This window comes from Homo sapiens, chromosome 4 (genome assembly GCF_000001405.40).
Source record: "Homo sapiens chromosome 4, GRCh38.p14 Primary Assembly".
NCBI classification, from domain to species: domain Eukaryota; kingdom Metazoa; phylum Chordata; class Mammalia; order Primates; family Hominidae; genus Homo; species Homo sapiens.
Genome location: NC_000004.12, coordinates 156,306,931 through 156,330,932, shown reverse-complemented (window position 1 = coordinate 156,330,932; position 24,002 = coordinate 156,306,931). Strand labels below are relative to the sequence as shown.

Here is a 24,002-nt window from a genome sequence, read left to right as displayed (position 1 = left end):
GAAACCTGGATTTCACGAACATTACTTTCTTCTCTGTAACTAACCAATCCAGTGTCGCAATGGGACCAGGCAGAGAGGGTAATACTGAAGCCTGTGGCAAGCCATATGCCTCTAAATTTGATTTCAACATACTTTCCTCTTGTGAGGCTTAATGACGTGCGGACTTTAGGAAAGTAAACCCAGTGCTGCATACCTAGACTAGGAATCAATAATTTAATATAACACCTGGTGAACCCTGCCCGCTTGTACAGAAGTAGCAAATATTGTGCATGCACTTGTATAATAAAAAGTCAAGCTGAAACAGTGCACACTTGGGCACCCAGCTGCTAAACACCTGCAATTCTGTTACTTTGCTTAGGCCGGAAATTACATTTGAATGTACAAAGTCCAGAAACTTTGTAGTTCAAGGTAAAATTGGAGTATTTTTGCACCCAGATCAAGCACAAAGCCATTTTGCTTGGATCATGAACCAGGCCAATGGACTGACTGAGAGACATTGTTTGTTGGAAGTCTGGCGTGTGTAGATCTACTTCTGAACAGTAAGTTTTTTGAGGATTTTTAAAATGTCTATTTTGATCGCCACAGCATCCTCAATACCTACCTGGTACATATAAACACTCAGTGTGCTTTTACTGAATAAATATAATTAAAAGCACATTTTGAGTACTGCAGCGGTTTCTAATGCTCATTGTTATCTGTTTGTTCATTACTTCTGGCAACAGAGAAAGATTTAACTAACCATGTCCTTTCTCAATTAGACAAGACTATGTTATGTTACTAGATATAGGCTGTGAAATTTGAGCAAAAGCAATGAGCATCATTTATGGACCTAAACATTGAAAATGTGAGTACTGTACTCTCAATATTCTCTTTTTCCCAGCTGTAGTCATACTAGAACTGTGTTTTGGGAGAGCACTGTCATAAAATGAGGAACTTTGTGTCTCTGAATCATCCAGATAGGAGACTTCCTCTTCCGAGTTGGTCTATCCACATATGATTTGATGCAAGCTTTTGTTTGTTTAGTCATTGAGATTTGGACTTTATTTTGTTAGCATCCTATCATGCTGATATAGAACACTGATTTTGTGCCTGCTAATTTTATCTCTAACAGAAAATGATAAATCTACATTATAAGACTTTTAATTCTTCATTTTTTTGTTTATTATTGGTATATATGCAACAGCTTTATGAAATCCAGGAGAAAGCCAGCTTTTATTTAATTTGTGAACTGATTCAATTCATTCCCTATAAAGTCTTAACTGTATACTCAAATTTTTCCTTTGCTTGTAAAATTACTATTGATTATGTGGTGAACAAATCTTTCTAAAAGGCTGTGAGACTTAATCTTGTGAAAACAGAATTTCAGTTGAAGAAGAAATTCATGATAAATATAACAAAGACCATAGATGAGAATAAATACATGTAAATAATAAGTAATAATTACTTGGTCCAGGAAAATGACTTAGCCCAATTAAATATACCTCACTGAAAGTGTTTTTTTACTTCCGTAATGGGAAGCACTTCTGGATTTTCAACTAGGAAATAATTCACACTTTACTAAGGCTTCGCATTGCTGTCCTTTTTGCACAGCATGCATTTTCATTGCCTTCTGAAGTATAGTAGTAAAGTCGTGCTGTCCCTAATGCATGTAATAATAGAAAAATGCTGATTTAAAATAAAAGGATAATTTTGGTGAGCGAGAGTTCAATTATATAAAATTGTTTTTAGATTTGACCTAGAGTGTTGGCTCTAAAAATAAAATAAAACATCTCCACTCCTCCTGTGAAAATGAGAGAGGTGAAATGGCTAGTAAAACTAGGCAAGAACACAGTACATATGATGGATGTGGTTTGTTTTGTTTTGTTTTTAGTGGCCAGGACCTTGGACGCATGAAACAGAAAGGAAACGAGAAATAAACACCTATAAAAATGTTTCATAGAATTTAGACATGAAATAAAGGGATCTAACTATTTCCTTACCAAATAGTCAAAAGCAATTTACAAGTGATGGGAAGCTTTCAGCATACAGTTAAAACCTTACAGGAAATTTGTTAAATCAATTTCACAAAACAAATGAAGTATAGTCAGCATTTTACATAGACTATTTTAATTCTTACAGTAATCTTGTGACTTAGATATTATTTCTGCTTTGCAGTTGAGAAAATTGGCTAAGTTTTCTAAGCTTACTCAGGTAATAAAGATGGAACTTGAACTTAAAACTTTGTATATCTGATTGCAAGGCTCATAATATTTCCACTCTAAGTCATTGCTTTCCTTAGCAGGTATCTATGTTAATGCTTTAAGAGAGGAAAATGGTAGCCCAATTAAGTTACAGATAAAAGGGCAGAGATTAGCTATTATGGCTCTTACTCCAAGACTTTTTCTGCTAAACCAAGGCTCTATTTGTGATGATAGACTGAGTATGAGGTTTAAGAAAGAAAATGAGATCTTCAGTAAGAGATATCTAGGTGCAGTGTGGCCTGTTATAAAGAATATACAGGCCAGGCATGGTGGCTGACGCCTGTAATCCCAGCACTTTGGGAGGCCGAGGCGGGAGGATCACCTGAAGTCAGGAGTTTGAGGCCAGCCTGGCCAACATGGTGAAACCCCATCTCTACTAAAAATACAAAAGTTAGCTGGGCGTGGTGGTGCACACCTGTAATCCCAGCTACTTGGGGGGCTGAGGCAAGAGAATCGCTTGAACCCAGGAGGCAGAGATTGCAGTGAGGCGACAACGCACCACTGCACTTCAGGTTGGGCAACAGAGTGAGATTCTATCCCCACCCACCCCCCAAAAAAAGTATATAGGTGTTACAGATCCATGAACCTCAGTTTAGTGTTCATTTCTATAAAATAGAAAAATAACACTTGTCCTGCAGGATTTATACGTGATAATGTATAAATACTATTGAAAATTTCTGCCCCAGGCTAAGTGATTAATATATGGTAGTTATTATTTTCTTTTTTTTTTTTGTTTACACATGATAGAAATTTATTTTGCACAGTTTTGAAGTCTGGGACGTCCAAAATCAAGACACAAGCAGGTCTGGTGTCTGGTGAGAGTTGCTTGTTCTGCTTCCAAGATGGTGCCGTGGTACTGTATTCTCAGGAGGGCACAGATGCTGTTTTCTCACATGGCAGAAGAAATGGAAGGGTAAGAGGAACTAAGCTAGCTCCCTCCAGTCCTTTTATAAGATGCTAATCCATTTATGGGGGCAAAGCCCTCATGACATAATCACTTCTCCAAAGGCTCACCTCTTAATACCACCACAATGGGGATTAAGTTTCAGCACATGAATTTTGAAAGACTTTAGCAGACCCCAGCAACCATCTTAACTATTTTTAACCACACAATTCAGTAGTATCAAATACATTCAAAATGTTGTGCAACCATTAGGAGTTATTATTTTCATATCTTTTTGCACACTGCTACCTGGACTGAATGAATGCAACCAAGACTGCATTTCCATGCACATAGGAAGTGGCAGTAATCAAGTTAAAGTTAATAGGGGTCACATGAGTTGGATGACAGCAAGGTAGAAGACAGTAGAAGGGACTTCATATTGCTACAAAAAAAAAGGTCAGGCTGTAATATTCAAAAACATAGCAATATCAGGTAAGATATTAAAGGCTGAAAATTTTACTAAACTTGGCTATGGCCACTGCATGGTTATGATACCTACCTCCCAACATAGAAAAGAATACGGAGGAGACCACCACCATCCAGGATGAGATGACATAATTCTGATTCTTGCTTATTTTTAATTAGCTGTCCATGGGAATGGTTTAGGAGCCACGTGATGGATACAATTATCTCATTTGGTACACACATGTTACTTTTCACAGGTCACTTACTTTTTATATTTTATTGTAGTAGTGCGTGTTGCTATGGCAAATACACCCACAGCATCATCCCAAATGTTCTGGTTGCAATTTTATAATGTATGAATTCCCTTCATAAGCCTTCTAAGTTTTCATGGGGTGGTCTGAGAAAAATCAAAATCCCGTTCTAGCTACTAAGCTAATGTCTCAGCTCCACATCCACCTTTCTAGACTAGTGCAGCTGGGGCTGAAATTCTGAAAACCACATCCTCTTTGCCCAATGCTCCATTAGGCTCTACCGAAAGAGAATGCTAGAGATAGACTAAAGAACTGGAAAAAGGACTTGTTCCTTCTTGCATGTTAACTTGATTCCCTGTTCCTCTTAGCATTGCCCCAGTCACACTCTTTCTTCCTTTGGCAGTGGCAGTTTGTTTTAGAATCAGAAGGTTGTCTAGACTGAATTTTTCCCATCATTTGCAGGACCAGTTCATCCAACATCCCTTAGAGATGCCAGCATCAGCTGTCTGCTTACCCATCCTGCAGTGGAGGTTTGAATCCCGGCTTCCAGTCTCTTTCTCTGACTCAGAGACATCATGGCCAGCTGAACACCGTGCCCTACTCTGAGGTCTGAGTTTCACTCCAGGAGGCCACTCCTCCAAGATTTCCAAATTTTAGTGATCTCAACTTCTCATTGTTTCCTCAACTGCATGGGGTGTTTCCTGTAACGGTTTCCTGCCATTTCTGCCTCCATGATGCCTTATGTACAGAAAAGATTTAATATAGCAGGCCTGAGTCCGCTATCCTCAGAAAGTCCTGTTGCAAGTTTGGGCCCCAGCTGGTGTCTGGAAACTAAGATTTTGGGAAGATTCTCACCTTTCCCTGATAAGAATAGCTGGCTGTGCCTAAACTGTGCAAACACAGTTTATACCAAGTGCATACCAAGTTTATATCAAGTGCATACCAGTTTATACCAAGTATATACCAGTTTATACTTGGTGCAAACTGTGGTTTATACCAAGCACCTGCTCTCCTTTGAAGTCTGGAATTTTGGCAAATGACAGGCAGAGAGTGCCTACATGATCAGTCCTCAGTAAGACATTGGGCACTGTGTCTCTAATGAGAATCTCTGGTAGAAAACACTTCATGTGGATTGTCGTAATTCATCGCTGGGAAAATTTAACACATTCTTTGTGACTCCACTGGGAGAAGATGCTTGGAAGCTTAAGACTGGTTTCCTTCTGATTTCATACATGCACCTTTTCTCCTTTTGCTGATTTTGCTTCATATCCTTTTTCTGCAGTAAATTATAGCCTGAGTATGACTATATGCCATATACTGTGAGGCGCTTCAGTGAACCTAGATGTAGTCATGGGGATGCCTGATATACCTTAGTACTTCCTTTTTTTTTTTAGTTATTCCATACTTAAGTTATAATTCTATACATTAGATTTTCTCTGTTAAAAATAACTGGTATAGAGTAAGCCCTAAAACTCTTCTCTACGTACCACAGTTTTTCATAATAAACCAGGTAACCATGTCAGAAGAATTACCTGAACATAAATATTATATACCTATATCTATCTACCTACCTAAGTACCTATCTCTCTCTATATATATAGATATCTATATACATATCAATATATAGATATCTATATACATATCAATATATAGATATCTATATATATCAATATATAGATATCTATATATATCAATATATAGATATCTATATATATCAATATATAGATATCTATATATATCAATATATAGATATCTATATATTGATATCTATATATATCAATATATAGATATCTATATATATCAGTATATAGATATCTATATATCAGTATATAGATATCTATATATATCAGTATATAGATATATATGTAGAGATATATAGATATATATGAGATATATATATCTCATATATATATCTCACATGAGATATATATATCTCATATATATATCTCACATGTATATATGAGATATATATATATATCTCATAGGCTGTAGAGGAAGGAGTTGAGAACTTGTCTTATCCCACATATCAGGTGATATATATAGATATATAGGGAGATATATATATCTCATATATATATCTCACATATATATATGATATATATATGTGTGTGTGTATATATATATATATCATAGGCTGTAGAGGAAGGAGTTGAGAACTTGTCTTATCCCACATCTCAGATGAAGATAATATTTATAAAAAAGTTTGGGGAACATTTCTCAATGATGAGAAGTTTATTCTTTTTGAGCACCTGAGAAGATATTTATAGTAAATTAAATGCCCTTGCCTTGAAGGAGTGAATTCATTTATTTTGCATAAGCAAGTCACTCCTCAGCGGTCATCATATCTTTAAAGACGTAATACCTATAATTTTTGACAAACTACTTTATAGCTATATCATTAGTTATTCATATAAACTGTAAGCAACATCTACTTTGAATTTATTCCAAAGTCTTTGATAAGGTCAACAAAAGTTAAATAGTGTAAGTGCACACATTACAGTAAGGGATTTTACTCCCTGCTTTAACATAGCATTTCATTTTTGGTAGCACAAGCATTTTTGAAAATTTTCCAGAAGACCCATAAGAAAATGACATGTACAATGAGGTTATAGATACGAAAATGCATCTAAATACTTTCTGTGAGGTTGATACTTTTTATCAATAAATTGGTGGAACAAGAATAAAAACCATAAAATTAAAAACATATTACATGCAAATGTGACATTCAGTTTTAATTATGAAAGCAAAGCATAATCTCCTTTTCTTTTCTGAATATATAAACATGTCTGTTGTTTCCACCTTTTTTTCTTCATATATTATCTTGGGCTGGCAGCATGATGGGATAATTTACTGACTGAAAAAGAAAAAAGTGGTGGTGGGCACCTGTAATCCCAGCTGCTCGGAGGCTGAGGCAGGAGAATTGCTTGAACCTGGGAGGTGGAAGTTGCGGTGAGCCAAGATCACACCACTGCATTCCATCCTGGGCAACAGAGTGACTCCTTCTCAAAAAACAAAAACAAAAACAAAAACAAAAAGGCTTGTTATGAGTCATAAGATCATGCTGTAAGTTTCCAAAGGTGATGGGACAGCTAGTGACCTCCTTATTTCATCCTGACTTCTAAAGCAACACTTTGGGCAAATAGAACCACACAAAGGAGCTCTTTGACTGATTGAAGCTATCTGCTTCAGATCAAGTTAGTTTTCAGAATAGAGATAAACATATCTGAGCACTCGTTTGGATTCAGATTGTTTTTTTAACTAGTCTCCACACAACTCTTCCAGCTCTCCTTATACATTAAACACCACCATGAGATACTCAGAACAAGACACATTGGTACTGAATTCTCTGTACCTTTGGATTTAATCGGAGGAAAGTGCTAGGATATCAGCAGTCACAATACCCCTCATCACTTCATGATATTGCCATGTCTACTACTCCTACTTTACAGAACTGCTGGTTTTGACTTGACACTACCCTTGTCTGAAATGAACAAGAACCTTGTACTCGTATTTCAGATTAGAAAACATTTGACTAATTTAAAGGAAGTATTCCAGTTTTTATTAACACTTAACCAAATATTAATGAAAAACAAATATATAAACATATAGAAATGAATTCAGTTATAGAGTATAGGTTCTTTTTGGTTTCATTCAAGATAATTTGAGTAACTTGTTTGCCTCTGGACTGGGCACTAGAGATACAATTTTCCCCACAAAGACCTCCTTTGAGTTGCATCATTGTTTTTCAATGAGACATTGATTGCATTTTGGATGGGATAATTGTTTGTTTTCTCCATATTGCAAAGTATTTAGGAACCCTGGCTTTTTTCTACTAAAACCCTATGGCGCAGCACTTCATAATTTTGACTACCAAATATAGCACACATATCCTTGATGTAAGATGTGCTCCACTTGAAAATCACTACATTTGATTTTATTATAAGATAATTTGTCTAATTTCAACAATTAATTTAAGATCCGATAGGAATTGCTCCAAAATATACCTTCATCTTAGTCCTGCATGAGAGGTTTCCCCTCTTTGTTAACACCTAATTCCTTCACCTATTTTCTGGGCTAGCATCTCAACTTCATCCCACCTATGGAAATAAGGTTTCCAGAGTGGATGATCTTTTTCTTGGAGACTAAAGGCTTTATGTCAGCTTCCTGACATGAAGACTTTTTAATTCTTCATCTTGCAAAGCTGTCTCCTACTACTTAACTACCCACTAAGTTCCATTTCCTGTCTGAGGCAAACCTTCAATTCTCTACCAATTTTCCAAGCACAGATGAATAGTAGGCCCTGAGTCATCAAGGAATTTCCAGTTTGGTTACCAGATTTAACCACTTCCAAGATTCACTCTTTACTCCTTATGAATCATTTGGATTTTTACTTTCTCCTCTCTAATCCTTCAGATGCACATCTTCAAAATCCTATCACCTCAGTTTTATAAGGAAAATCTGCTTCATGCATTTCAGTGACTGTAGAGGACCACTTCTACCTAAAATGAGAAGTGTTTTCTTTCACTCTGGTAAGAAGTTTTTCTCCTAATGCAGTGATGTGTCCAAAAGCTTCAGTACAAACTCTGTTTACTAGCTGTGAAATGAAGAGCATGCCCTTTAGATTCTCTGACTAAATGTCTCTATTTTAAATGAAGGGTAGGGCCAGGTAGTCTCTAAAACTCCCAGGAGTGTTATGAGTCTAGAAGATTAAATGCTAGAAGAAGTTGAGTGATTTTTTTCTGTGAAGTAGAAAACCAGTGATATTGGTATTTTAAACTGTAGAGTGTACTATAAATTTTGATTACATGTAGTTTTTGAGTAGTCATTGGGTTATGATTAATACTTTGAAGTATATGGAAAAACTAATATAAGAAACATGTGAAAGTGGCTTCTGCACTATACTTCTAGGAGAGTCTCTAGAGTTTGATGTTTTTCCCAAATTTATACTTTACACAATCGAATTTTGCTATTGTCTAAGTGCCAGGGTCCATGCAAGGCAGACAAGAAAATATTTGAGTTGTTCAGGCTAAGGATCTTTTTTCCTGAATATAAGTCAAGGCTGAACATGACAATATGTTCCCAAATCAAATCAATTTCTTAATAGCGAAGAAAAAAGGGGAGAAGTAAACAAACAATGGAACTTAGTTTTATATTCCATATTTTAAATCACTATCTTTAATCCAGTTGTGTTAAAATGATAAAGTACATGAATTAATATTAAATATCATATTAAAATGATAAAATACATGAATTCAGCCACATGTCCGAAGAATCTCAGCGAAGTGTCAGTTTGATAATGAACTAAAATATTTATGGCTATAAATAAGCACTTGGAAATAGATTCATGACCATAGATTAAGTGACATGCAAATATTTTAAATCTATTATAACACTAAATTATTCCTTGCCATTCCTCCATGAAATCCATATTTTTTTGTCCTGTAAATAGCTATATTAATTCTGAAATACTTCTTTCTAAATTTCTTTCACTGTAAAATTCAGGGAAATCGTGGAACCCCATTAGAATGATATTTGCCAATTTAAAAACTCAGGTCTCTTCTAACTATGTGGGAACTATGGGAGGTCAGTGTTTTATATGCTGACAGTGTTTTCAGTACTGATTCACTGCATTGTAGGAAGATGATGATACATCATCAGTCCTTGGCTCAAACCCTCCAGTGGCCCCTCATCTCACCACAGTAAAACCAAAGCACTTACAGTAGCCTACAGGCACCAACAAGAACTTTCTCAACTATCAGTTTCCTGACCTCTCTCCCACTCATTTCATTCCAGCCACACTGGTTTCCTTGTACTATAATTCCTCATACTTCACGTATTACTTTGCTTAGATAACTCTCTCATATCCTTCAAACATTTGCTTAAATATTACCCTTTCAGTGATGACAATCACTTTATCCCAGTTCCCTTAAATCAATAGTCAAAATTTAGTTTACCTTGCACAATTTTTTGCTGGTTTGCAAGATATGTAATGCCTTATAAAAATTCCATAAATTTACTTACATATTCAATTTATTGAGTGATATCTGTCTATATCCTGATAAAATGTAAACAGCACAAAAGCAGGGTCATTTATCTGTTTTGCTCATTAATGTGTTACAACTGCCTAACACAATGATTAGCTCAAATTGAGCACTCAATAATTTTTTTTAATGTAAAAGAACAGCATGATTAGGTAATGATGATGATGATGATAGAGTATTCTGGGGTTTGTTTTTTCTTTTTTGCACTGGGCTAAGTAATTTACTTTCATAATTGACCTAAACTTCTTCCTAAACACTATGGCATATAGACATTACAACCCTCATTCTAACAATGAGAAAACTGTGGCTTCAGAAGTCAAGGAATTTGTCTCAAGTTATACAGCTAGTGAGCTAGTAGAATGGGGACTTAAATCTAGATCTGTCAAACTTCAAGGTCTATTCCCCTACTGTGCTATAATTCCTATATATTATAATTTGGGTAAGTTACTTTCATACTTGCTTTGAATTCTAATCTATAGAGAAAATGAATTTATTTAACATGGTCAGTATATGGCATATACAGTATATGGTTTAGCATATGTCCTTTAGTTAATCCATTTCATTTTTAGATGCTCTGTTACTCTGGTTCTTGAGTTCATGAATCATTTATCCCACTTCTATTCACTATCCAAAACACTGAAAATTAATTCTTCTGAGTATCCTGTGAAAGTCTATTGGCACAAATGAACTATTTGGACATGAAACATAGAGATTAGAAACCTTTTATTAACTCAAATTGCCTGATAACACAAAGCAACAAGCAAGGAAAGTTATGGTGTATGAGGAAGCAAATTGTCAAGGGAAGGAGCACAAAAGGCGAAAGGTTCCACATGGCCTACTTAAAAAGGAAACAAGCAAGAAATATAACAATTTTTATTTTTATTTTTATTTTTACTTTTTTTTTTTGAGACCGAGTCTGGCTCTATAGCCCAGGCTGGAGTGCGGTGGCGTGATCTCAGCTCACTGCAACCTCCGCCTTCTGGGTCCCGGCTCAGGAGATTCTCCTGCCTCAGTCTCCCAAGTAGTTGGGATTATAGGCAAGCACCACCATGGCCAGCTAATTTTTGTATTCTTAGTAGAGAGAGGGTTTCACCATATTGGCCAGGCTGGTCTTGAACTCCTGACCTTGTGATCCACCCACCTCGGCCTCCCAAAGTGCTGGGATTACAGGTGTGAGCCACTGCACCCGGCCACTAATTTATATTTTTTATAGTTATTTTATATTACTACCCCTTCTCAACATGGTATACATGTTATGAAGAGTGGAAATGGAAAATAGGAAGAGGAAAAAATGTGTAAAAATATAAATAATTCAATGGGAAATATTGTCATTGTAAAGTGCAGTATACATGGCAGTTAAATGTATGCTCCCTAAATTTGCAACATTTTGTCTATGTATTTATTTTTTAAGAGATTGCATTTTGCTATGTTGCACAGGCTGGTATTGAACTCTTGGCTTCAAGCAATCCACCCTCCTCGGCCTCCCAAAGTGTTGGGATTACAGGCATGAGCCACTATACTTGGCCAAAGTCTGCAACATTTTTAAATTGGTGAAAACATTGTATCTATCTCAAAAAGAATTAAATGAGTTCATACATTTAAAAATGATTAGAAACAATGTCTAATTGGCATAAATGTTTTTTATAATTATTTTTGTGATTCCAATGAATAGAAACAGATCTCTCTTTAATTTCCTATTATGGAACTCAATTGTCCATGACTTATTTGATGGCATTTCTACTTAGTAGAGGGCAGATTCAAATCCCAGTCAATTTCAGGTTTTCATACCCTTCCTTTTTCTTTTGTTCCCCTCTGCAGTATCTGGGCATAGATGAAAACATACATGCCATTATTAAGAAAAAGATACTTGCTTATCTGAATACTATCCTGCACGTCTTAGTTGGCCTTGTACCTAACTCCTCATGGCCTTTGGGCATGCATTACATCTATACAAATACCTATGGTTCTGGCAATGGCCACAAGTCACAGCCTCCCCACACTCTGCATCTCTTTCCTCCAGACCTCAGGCTCATTCTAGTCACCAGCTCTCTCAGCACTTCTGTGTTCATCACTGGAGCTCCAGAAATGACTGAATTTCCCACATACCATGAACAGTAAATGGGAATGGGGAGCATTAATCCAGGCTTGTTCTTTTCCCACTCACACAATGTCACTGTTTCTATCTAATAGCATCACTCCACGTGGTCATGGAGCACTCCTCCTCTCAAAGCTCCAAATGAAAGATAGCATACAAGCCTCCTCTCCTTTCCTATTCCCCCACCCAATATATGGTTTCTATCACCTAACTCTGCCACTGTTGGCCAAAGACCAGGAAATGGCAATGCTGAATTTTATCTCAGGGAACAAGGCAGCACCTTAAATCTAGTTTCATGCCATTCAAATCTCCTAGGAAGTGTTTTGTGGAAAGACCTTCCACTACATTGCATCTTGCATCTTCTACATCCTGTGGCTAATCATTAAAATCAGTAATAGAAAAATCCTTAGTGCACTGAATAAGGTTTAGATTTTGAAACTTCATAAGAAGAATTTGGATGTGTAATTCTCTTTTCTGTTTTTTTAAAGTTATGGTTGATGATTTAATATTATAAAATCATGGGTCACAGGAATGACCAGGAATCAAAAATTCATAGGATATTAATTTAAAAACTAACTTTGCAAGAGCACAGAAGGGGAAAGAAATTCTCATTTACTAACTACCTATTATTATTTCCCAAACTGCATGTTAAGTTTTAATGAAATATTCAACATTTATCAAAAGATCATAAAGTGAATAAAAATCTTATTTTATTTCTTACTATGGATGTCAACTGTATTTAAATAACTCTTCTGGGCATGATGGCATTCTGATTCTGGTTCCAGTGCCTTCCTTACCCACCCATATGGCATCTTGAGATGCATTAAAAGTTACATGCCATGGTCACTTTATTCCCAGCAACAGGCCTCCATTGGCTATTTGCCCCCATGTGACTTTTGCTTTGAATTACACTATAAGTCAAACTATCAGGAGAAGAAATTTATTTGCTCCCTGTTTTCCAACTATTTAATACCATCCCTTTTAAGGCTTTGCTTTTGCCTGTTTTTCTATTTATTGAACTTCATACAATACAGATTATACAATGTAATCTTTCTATTGTTGCGGGAAGTTAGGGACCCCAAATGGAGGCACCAGCTGGAGCCGCAGCAGAGGAACATAAATTGAGAAGATTTCATGGACATTTATCAGTTCCCAAATAATACTTTTATAATTTCTTATGCCTGTCTTTACTTATCTCTTAATCCTGTTATCTTTGTAAACTGAGGATGTACGTCACCTCAGGACCACTGTGATAACTGTGTTAACTGTACAAATTGATCGTAAAACATGTGTGTTTTGTTTGAACAATAGGAAATCAGTGCACCTTGAAAAACAACAGAATAACAGCGATTTTTAGGGAACAAGGGAAGACAGCCATAAGGTATGACTACCTGTGGGGTTGGGCAAAAAGAGCCATATTTATCTTCTTGCAGAGAGCCTATAAACAGACATGCAAGTAGGGAAGATATCACTCAATTCTTTTCCTAGCAAGGAATATTAATATTAATACCCTGGGGAAGGAATGCATTCCTGGGGGCAGGTCTATAAACGGCCGCTCTGGGAATGTCTGTCTTGTGCAGTTGAGATAAGGACTGAGATACGCCCTGGTCTCCTGCAGTACCCTCAGGCTTACTAGGGTGGGGAAAACTCCACCCTGGTAAATTTGTGGTCAGACTGGGTTCTCTGCTCTCGAACCCTGTTTTCTGTTGTTTAAGATGTTTATCAAGACAATACGTGCACTGCTAAACATAGACCCTTATCTGTAGTTCTGCTTTTGCCCTTTGAAACATGTGATCTTTGTACCTACTCTCTGTTCTTACACCCCCTCCCCTTTTGAAACCCTTAATAAAAACCTGCTGGTTTGAGGTTTGAGGCTCAGGTGGGCATCACGGTCCTACCGATATGTGATTTCACCCCGAGCAGCCCAGCTGTAAAATTCCTCTCTTTGTACTGTCTCTCTTTATTTCTCAGCCAACTGACACTTACGGAAAATAGAAAAAACCTACATTGAAATATTGGTCGTGTTTCCCCCCAATATTCTTTACCTGTAATATTCAAATAATGCAAGCTAGAATAAAATTGGCTTCATATAGGGACATCTCTAGTCCTAAAATGTATATATTTCTTTAAAAAATACTATAAGGAGTTTGTCAAAAGTATTACAATTTCTCTGCCATTAATTTCCTTTTTTTTTACTTGCTAGAATCTTGAAGTATGCTATGGAACCCCAATCTTGCAACCAGGAATGTGATAAAATGTTTTTAAAAATGCATAAGACATATATCTAGTTCCAAGTATTTTTACTGCAAAAACATGCAATTAGAACTCCTTATCTCACTACATCAGATGATTTCCTCACTTAAAACTGTTTAGATGTTTTGGAAATTTCATTGTATCGTATAGCCGTCTTGGGGCTATCCAATCCATGTATTTGTTTTTAAGGCTATAAATATTATTGTGGAGATAATTGTTTAACTTTATTTAGCAAATCTGCAAACATATTGAACCACAGGAATCATGATTCTCTTTCTTTCTCCCTAAATTAATTAGTGCATTGTGAAGCACCCTTGGGATCCGATACTAGTGCATTACTATGTTTTGCATGCAATACTTTTTGAAGATATTATAATAGTGACAAGAGCTTATAGATAAACTAGGACTAAATTATAAAGTAGGACTAAATTACTACCTGTACACAGATGGATGTGATGAGTAGAATAAAATCTTTAGCAGGGATTGCCTAGAAGTAATTGGGAAGAGAAAACATGCTTAGAGCAGAAGAACTTGCTCCATTGTAGAACTTGTACTGTCAGGAGAAAGTCTAGGAACACTTTTGTCCAAGTGTTAAAAAGAAATATAAAACAGACAAGAAGAGAATGTATGAAGTTTCCAAAAAAAAAAAGTTTATCTACTTTACTCGCATTTTTTAGAACTATTCTTGGTGATAGTTCTCCATAATCTTAAAATTTCATTCCATATATTAAAATCATCAATACCTGCCAGATATCCAATGCTAAAAATACCCCTACTTAATATGATTATCTGGTGCAGGAGCCCTTCAACAATTGAGGTAATATCTTCTAGAAAAACATACGAAAATTCAAAGAGATGTATTATATAGTGAACTCTAATCATTAATTGGAAGTAAATAGTTATGGTCATTGTTTAAAGAAAGTAACAGGTAATTTGAGAATCAGTTCAAGATATACCTGAACTTACAAAAATGAGTGTAAACTTTACTTAGAGAGACTGATGGCCCTTTCTGAAATGAGTAAGTGTGGTAAATATGTGGCCCTGGGTTTTCTGCAGTTTGTAAGATAGTGTTAACATGCAACTTTCCCCTCAGCCCATTCCTAAGCCTCCCTCTGACTCTCCACTCCAACTTGGTACAAGTCTTCTTCCATTTCTCCTACCCTAGACTTTGGTGTCACAGATGGAGTAAAGTTAAAGTGTAAAGTGTGGCTCAGAATTGGGATAAGCATTTGTCTTTTGTAAATTTCTTGGTGATAAAAAATGGTAAAAATTTAGAATCTGAATTTCAGAGTACATAAAAATTGCTATATTAGAAACTTACCAAAATGGTTTTCTTACAACTATGTTAACATGTCTTATAGTTCTTCCTGGCTAAATGCTTTCTATCCTATGACAGCACGGAAGTTACTTCTCAAAAGTCTTCTTGGCCTTCTAAGTCAGAGGTAATGGTTTCTTCTTTGAGTTCTTTTAGCAGAATGCATTGTACATGTAACGTAAGACACAATGCTGGTTTCCTTCTCTTTTACAAGGAGATCAAGCTCCTTGAGACACAGAGCAGATCTTCTTTGTCTACATATTCCTCACACCTAGCACAAAGGCCTGTCATTTAATTGGAACTCAAAAATGTATCATATAAAGATTAAATAATAGATCTATAATAGTAATAAGTCTTAACTCACCAAGATTAAACTACTGAATTAGAAATGATTTACTTGCCAGTAACTTCAAAAATACCTATTAACTTGTCTTTGGTAAAACTAATAAGCAAACAAATACTATTCATATTTATAACATAAGTTATAATTTAGTTTGAAACATCATAGACATTGGTGAAAATGCACAAAGCTAATGTATGTCAGTTAACAAAATATGAATTAGGATTGTGTTAAGAAAAGACACACCCAGTTTCCATGGTTAGGAATATTTAAATACTTCATTTGAATAAATTGTCCTTAATTAGCTTCAAGTTGTATTAAAGAAAAGTACATGGATAGACTGCTACTTAAAACTAAAACTAAAATTCTAAGCAAAGCTTCCTGCCATGAAATTACCAGGTTGTTCCATAGTCCTTATTGAGATTTGATAGTTCATAAGTAATCTCTTCACAATCCAAAATGTTACCTGGCTAACACTTTAATCTGCTTTTCTTCTGGAAAACTGTGGCCTTCTGATAGTATTCCTTCACTGGTCTAGTATATTAATTAGTCTATTAGTAGATGTGTTAGGCTGCTTGGAAAAATAACAGGGGTCAAACTATTCACAACATATGGACCCTATTTCTAGGGTCAAATTCTACTCAAAATGGTAGTATAATATTAGTAAAAGCAATGCCTTTTGCATCTTATAAAAATCAGCTGTGAAAAGGTACTTATACTGTATTTCTAACCTGATTCGCATAACATACACAATATCAGGGCTAGTATTTTTAATTTTAAATTATAGATTTTTAAAGAAGGCTGTTTCTCAAAATGGGTAAATTATTTCAGTTTTAAAAGCTAAAAAAAAAATATTTGAAACTATTACTAAGACCCACACCTTTTCGCTACACCACTCTGAGTAGAAAATGGAAGTTAGTGATTATTGAAAACAATTCTTCTATTCATATTCCAAACTCAGAGATATGTACTTAGGACAGACTAAGCTAAATGTTATACTATCTAAAAGCCACACCACACAAGAATAACACCTTAAAGCTAGTATAATAAATGTGTTTGTTGAATTATGACTCAAATGTGGGATTTTCATCAGCAGTTATCCTTCCCATCCTGGCACCTCAAACATGTTACCATTTTCTTTCACTATTTTATTCAAGGGTCTCATTTGTGCTGAAATTTTTAAAGACTTAGAATTATTCTCACCTTGACACAACACTTTGTTTTTTTGTTATGACTATAAAAAATAATGTTTTTATAATCCTCCGTTTTGGAGTAGAACTGTGAAAAGTAGCTTTTGACGTTTGGTATTATTATTTGCTTTCCTTTTTTGGCAGTTGATCTTGGCATCCTAGACTGTTTTTTCAAACACTGTAGCAATAGCATACTCTTCAGAGTTTGGCTAATGATCTAAAACTAGGAAAGCTAGAAAGTCTCTGTGTAATTCCCTATTCAGTAATTACTCAATTTTAACTTTTTTTTGGTCAAATTTTCACTCTTAATTAGTTAACCATAAATATGCAAATGCTTTATTATGATGTAGTGTTAACATAGAAAAAAAATCAGGCTTTATAAATTATCCTAAGTTGAGTCTAGTAGCAAATGTAGGATTGGCAGAAATAATGATTTCTAATTTAAAACACTTATTGATGTTAATACATTTATAATTTGAAAAAGAAATAAAAATACCCTTAACCCAATGTATTACCCATAACGCTGCATTGCTCTAAAAAATCTAGTTCAAATTTCACTCCACATTATATGCCTTTATTTTTCCTCTTACTCAGTTTGTATTAATCATTAATTATACTTCAATGCCTTATTTAATAGAATAATTATGAAGTGCCACCTTTGTTCACTGGCTTTTGGGGATCATTTCATTTAAAAAATAACGAGGAATAGATTGTGCCTCGATAAGATACAGGACTAATTATATATGCCTTTATTTCTGGAGACATTTATTTTAGTGCAAGTTGCTTATTAATTGGTCTAATCCTGGATCTATAAAATGTTCCCAAACAATGCATGGTAAAAATTAGGAATTGTTGTAAAATATAAATGAATTTATTTCAAACAGAAGTAATAATTGCAAATAAACTGTGCCCATTAGGTATATAAACTCACATGTTTATACAACCTTGTTAGTTAGGTACTGCATTTTACAAATGAGTACCCAAGGCTTGGAAAGTTTAAAACGATTGCAAAAATTCCTGTAGCTATTAAATTCCTGAGCTAACATAAGAACCCAGTTCTAACAAAAACAGAAGACCATGTTTGGAAGCATTTGCTATAGACTGATAGGTAGGAAAGTGCATATCACATGTATGGGTTATTCAGAAATATAAGTTTAACAGTACTGCATACGACTATGTCACAAACATTTTATATGACTTTGGATAAGCTGCTCACTGAGATTCAATACCCACACCCATAAAATGAAAGTATGACTCAGCCAAATCCAATTAAAACAAAGTTTTAGAGGACATAAATTTGGTGCAAAGTAATTATGACAATGATGGTAAGCACTAAAAACAACACTTGGCAACAAAATGAGTTCACACAAGTGAATATCTAAACATGTTAGTGCTCCAAAACTCTGTGTTACTCCTTTCCTGTCAATAGCGCTGCTGCTTATGAATTACAGCAACATGCAATTATGAGACCACAGAAGCCTCAAAAAACACTGAGCCCAGGAAACTCCTGTCAGACATAACAAGAATGTACTTGAATGCTACTAAAGAAATAACAAACCTGAGGTTCTTCTTCAGTTTGCGAGAAAATACTTTTAAAATAGTCTGGATTGTCTGCATAAACTTGATCAGTTTCTATTTTAGCTGATTTTCTAATTATATTGAAATAAAAACAATTAAATTTAGAGTACAAGAAAAGATGAAATAGCTCATCTCCAGTGTGACAAAATCTACCTAGTCCTTGGACCCTATGGGAAGGATGGCAATATATACACTCCAGTGTTTTTCTTCTGAATCTTAACCAAACTCTGTTTTTCTTCCATTGCTTTGCCGTAGCTACCCAAATGTCCAGGTAAAGTATTTATTTCCCTAACACTCCCCAAGCACAAACAAAACCCCCTCTATTGATTTCTACCACCACCCCCCGAAAAAAAAATTAGACACTGAATTTTATTAAAGTCTTTTTCAAAACATACTAGAATATTAAGGTGATTCACAAATAAAACTATAAAACCTACAAAGCAAAGAGACTGGCTTAAATATTACAAGCATTAGATTCTACGTCAATCTAAAAACGACATAGAAATCTGATAATTTCTAGAATAATCATTTCATTCTAAAAATGAGAAATGTGTATTTCACAAATAAATTGGCTTTTATGTGAAATAGAAATCTTAGAAAAATAAAAATAAGAGAAATTCACTAAAATGTGTAGAAAAGAATCATGCTTGCTCATAGTTGGCAGCATCAGGGAAAATATGTGAAATGTGCAGACTAAGAAATTTGAGGTTCAGAAATGTGTCCTGTACCCTGAACAATAAACCTGTGATTGCATTAGCAAAATGAAGTAGAGAATTAAGGGCATCATACAGATCATAATTTCAATAACCTATAGTTTCAATGTTCTAATAATAAGAAATGGCCATGCACACAAATGTATTTTTATCATCACGAAAGTATGGGGTTGAAATACTTATCCTGGGAGTAGCTGTGGGATCTAACAATGAACAGTGGATCAGCAGCAACCACTGGTTTGTTCATTCAAATGCTGCTTGTTGAACTCCTACGTGCTAAGGCACTAGACAGTAAACAAGTGAGACAAGCCTGGCAGTCATGCCAATTATTTCCTAGAAAATAAACAAGTAAATAAATAAAACAACAACAGATAGTTTAAAAAAAAAGTACTGTATAACTAAAATGGGTGATATTGAAGAGAGTAAGGGAAAGAGTTATAAATTAAGATAATATGTTCAGGGAGGCCCTCTTTCATAAAGTGCCACTTGATCAGAAACCTACAAAACAAGGAGATAATCCCTGAATCTAGAACAGAATTGTTCAACAGAGGTTAAAAAAAAAAAAAAAACCGGTTGGCATTTCTGGAGCATCATGCACTGGAGTAAGTGTGAAATGAAGTCTAGGTGGGGGAAGGGGAGCTTAATTCCACTGAGGGCACTGAACATATTCTATATGATTCAACTCTGGATTCATTTTACTTGTTCCATAACTCTGCAAATGGTCAACTTGAGTAAATGTTGGAAATGCACTTAGAAGAATGTGTATTCCACCATTACTAAGAATCATGTCATCTGTGTATGCTAAACCATCTGTTTAGCTTGTTGTTCATATCATCCTTCTCTGTTTTGAATGGGAATCTGCGTCAGTATCTTGTTGAAAGAAGCACACCAGAACTTCCAACAGCGGTTGACATTTTCTTATTTCTTCTTTTACTTTGGTCACTTTTTGGTTCTTGTTGTTTTGCCATTAAAAGTAATGGCCATTTGGCTAGTCGAGGTCTTTTGTGATTCCATACACATTTTAGGATGTTTTTTTCTACTTCTGTGAAGAACGTCATTGGTATTTTGATGGGAATTACATTGAATTTGTACATTGTTTTGGATGATATGGATACTTCAACAATATGAATCCTTCCAATCTATCAAGAAATTCTTCAGTTTCTTTAATCAGTGTCTTATAGTTTTCAGTGTAAATATCTTTCACCTCCTTGGTTAAATTTATTTTTAAGTATTTAATTTTTACATAGCTTTTGCAAATGGGATTTTTTAAATTGATTTCTTTTCCAGATAATTCGCTATTAGTGTACTGATCTTCTATCCCAGAGGCTTTGGTGTTTCTGGTTCTCTGCTCTATAGTCTTTGGATAAGAAATTAATTGAAGGAAATACAATTTTTGAACAATTAGATCAATAGTCTTCATATGAAGCCTATTAGTGCCTCAGAGAACACAGAATTTAAAATATAGCAGGATGATAATACTGCATAAAAAGTATTTATAAAACAAACTCCATTTAATTGAGTTAATTGGGCTTCCTTCTGTGAGATATTGGTCATGACTTAAAACACACATATACATATGAGATAAAATTTAAAGGAGTAATCATGATGGTGTTTTTTAAAATTAAAATATTGTTTTATGGTTTAACTGACACTTTTTAACTCAAGAAGAAAGTAAAAAGAAAATCTGGTCTTTTTTACTTTTCTGAAGCAAGAGGTGAAAGATATCCTCTCTAAATGAGATATTAACTTTTCCTTCAGAATACCTTATCAGTGTACCATAATGCTACGCAGTATACTATAGATATAGCAATTTTAGCTAAACTATTTCTAACTAACATTTCTTTTAAAAATTTAGAAACTATCAACCAAACTTAGTAATTAGTAGAACTTCCAACCAGATGTATTGATTCTATATTTCAAAAATAGAGCTAAGTAACAGAAGTTATCTGTGATAATTAAAATTAATATTTATCATTATGTTGTCAGAATATGATGTATTCTGATATCATACTCAGGTATGTAACATATTCATACAGAATATGATGTATAACTTAGAAGCAAGTTTCTTTACTCCTACTGAAAATTATCTGTTAACCTCATTATTTAACAAATATAAAACTTAAGGGACATATGGGTTTTACATATATTTCATATTGACCCAGAATCATAATTACAGAATATTTAATAAAATATATTCTGATCTGGAGGGATATAGTACATTACATAACTTGAGAGGCAACTTTACTTCATATTTGGCTCTCTTGAGTAGGTAAGGAACTGCACAGCCTTCAGGCTCAGCAATAGTGAGGTCACTCCAAGGTGAGGCCAAATCCCACTGGGCCCAGACAAGGCAGGAAAAATATGACCACACATTAGCAACAGTGATCTCTAACAGCAGAATCCAACAGCCTAATGTTTTACTTCCAAGAAACAGCTTGTGCTGGTGTTATATTTTCCTCCAATTGGTCTTGAGGTCTTTCTCTTGATAGTGGCCATAATCCAAGATACCCACTCTCTAGGAGTGCCCTGGCCTCTCTAGGTTCATGTGTGTTGATCAGGTGACACATAGAAGAGGCAGCAGAACAAAATATAAATGAATGGCATGAAATAACATAAGCAATCTTTATTCCTTTAGATCCCAGAGAGGAGAGGGCATCATGCCTCACAGGGCCCGTGGGAAAGGAAGAGTTATCTGGGACACGCATGCTCAACCAGCTGGTGGGAAGCAAGAAAAGAAGAGAGAGAGCAAGAGACCAAAGAGTCAAAGCTTTCATTGGGTTCCAAAGCATTACCCAAGCAGGTTTCCCGAAGAGAGCTCTAAACAGTGAGTTTAAAGCAAGCAGGTACAAGTTCCAGAAGATCACACTGTGACTGACAGGAGGTCACTATGCCATATCTACGCAGTCCATGTGGGGTACAAGGGTCTGAGGAGTGAGTCACATAGGCTGTTTCTAGCTGTCCTATAGGAAGGTGGTCATCAAAAAGCAGTTGTGAAAGGCAGATATCTGGATCCATCACACTGAAGAACTGGGAGGAGTTAGAGAGTTGTAGACTATATCAAGGGTAATTCCTGTTTCTGGTATGAGAAAGTCCAATTTAAATTTAAAATAAAGGCTTAGGCAACATGGGATTATAAGAATTCACTACAGCTACTCTAATGTAGAGATGATGGGGGATCTAGAGGGAGCTATGTGTACTGGAGATTCCTTTTCCCCAAGTTGATGACAGCTGATGAGCTTGACTAGGTCATTATAAACATACATATTTATATGTATATTTACATATACATAATCTGTATAACCTGTATTTTCTCCTTGCATCACTGTAATATGTGCCAAAAAATATAAAGTTTGATATGCAGTTTAACACTTATCTCCTATTATCAAATGCAAGTTGAAGGTTTTCCCTTAGATTGTGCGAAGAATTGTATTCTCCTTCTATATGCATATGTATGATAATATTGTTAGTTATCCAATAATGTTATTGTGAAAAGAAATTACAAATAGGATATTTAGCCATAATTTTCAAAGGATGACATGTGGAGACTACATCAGAATTGGCCAATTATTCAATAAAAGTGTAGATAACTTGGTCCTACCCCTGTCTACTAAATCATAATCTCTGAGAAGAGTCTAGGCACTTGTATTTCTAACTAATTCACAGGTGGAAGTTAGGCACAATAAAGTTTAAGAAATACTTGCAGATTTAGGTGATTAATATAAGTACTAGATTATTATATACCAGGTATCAAAAGAATATTTGGTATCATGAAATAAATTTTAAAATAAATAGAATTTCATTTTCAATAGTAATACTCAACATTGGTACCATTAAACTTGACATTTGGAATACAACTTTGAGATTGAAACCCATACGAAAACTTGCAAATGCTTTATGCCTTTTCCTTTCTTAAATAACATCTTCTCATTCCAAGGTTGTAAAATATTTTGACATAAAATCAGTATATAGAATAGTTTGTTTCAGCAATAAAAAATAATCACAGGAAATTTAGGGACAGAAGGTTATTTACATTACCTCTACCAATTACGTAATTTCACAGAGAGCAAGACAAAGTGGTAGTTAAATGCTTCTATTGAAGCATTGCAGTTAGAAAAGAGTTGCAGTTAGAATTGCAGTTAGAAAAGAGCCAGTATTTGAACCTACACTTAGTAATATCTTACCTGTTCTCCACTGTCTTCCTTCTACACTACTATACCTTTCTCTTTGTTTTTTTGTTTTTTCTCACATGGTGAATATCTTCTAATCAAATCACAATATGGCCTCAAACAATATATGACTAAGGTGTTTTGAGGAACAGATTGGATGTATGGTCTGATTTTATCCATGCACTATTGCACGTAGGAAATTCTAACTGAAGTCAGTGCTCAACCTCCACTGTGAAAAAGAAGAAAAACTGAAAATGACACAACTCTCCATACAGACATAAATCACCCAGAACACTATTTCTGGATATTAAGCCAAATTCTCTCTATTCTTTCTATTCAAATAAACAAGACTAAGCATGAGAAAAATGAAGCTGGAAAAAAAAAAACACAGAAAGTTCTGTCTTTATTCAAAGAAAGCCAAATCTATTTTCAACGTTATTTCTGTCTGGCAGAATAGATTGTGTGTGTGTAT

At 35.0% G+C, this 24,002-nt stretch overlaps 1 long non-coding RNA gene across 2 annotated transcripts; it reads left to right on the top strand.

Moving 5' to 3' along the window:
• The first annotated feature begins 331 nt into the window (after positions 1-331).
• On the top strand, positions 332-22,335 carry LOC105377508 (uncharacterized). 2 transcript variants are annotated; one of them, XR_939398.3, is made up of 4 exons: positions 332-539; positions 3,005-3,153; positions 4,302-4,446; positions 22,000-22,335. It is a non-coding gene; the product is annotated as an uncharacterized LOC105377508 (long non-coding RNA). The 2 variants fall into 2 exon arrangements; XR_939397.3 differs by having other exon boundaries at positions 2,988-3,153.
• The last annotated feature ends 1,667 nt before the right edge of the window (positions 22,336-24,002 follow it).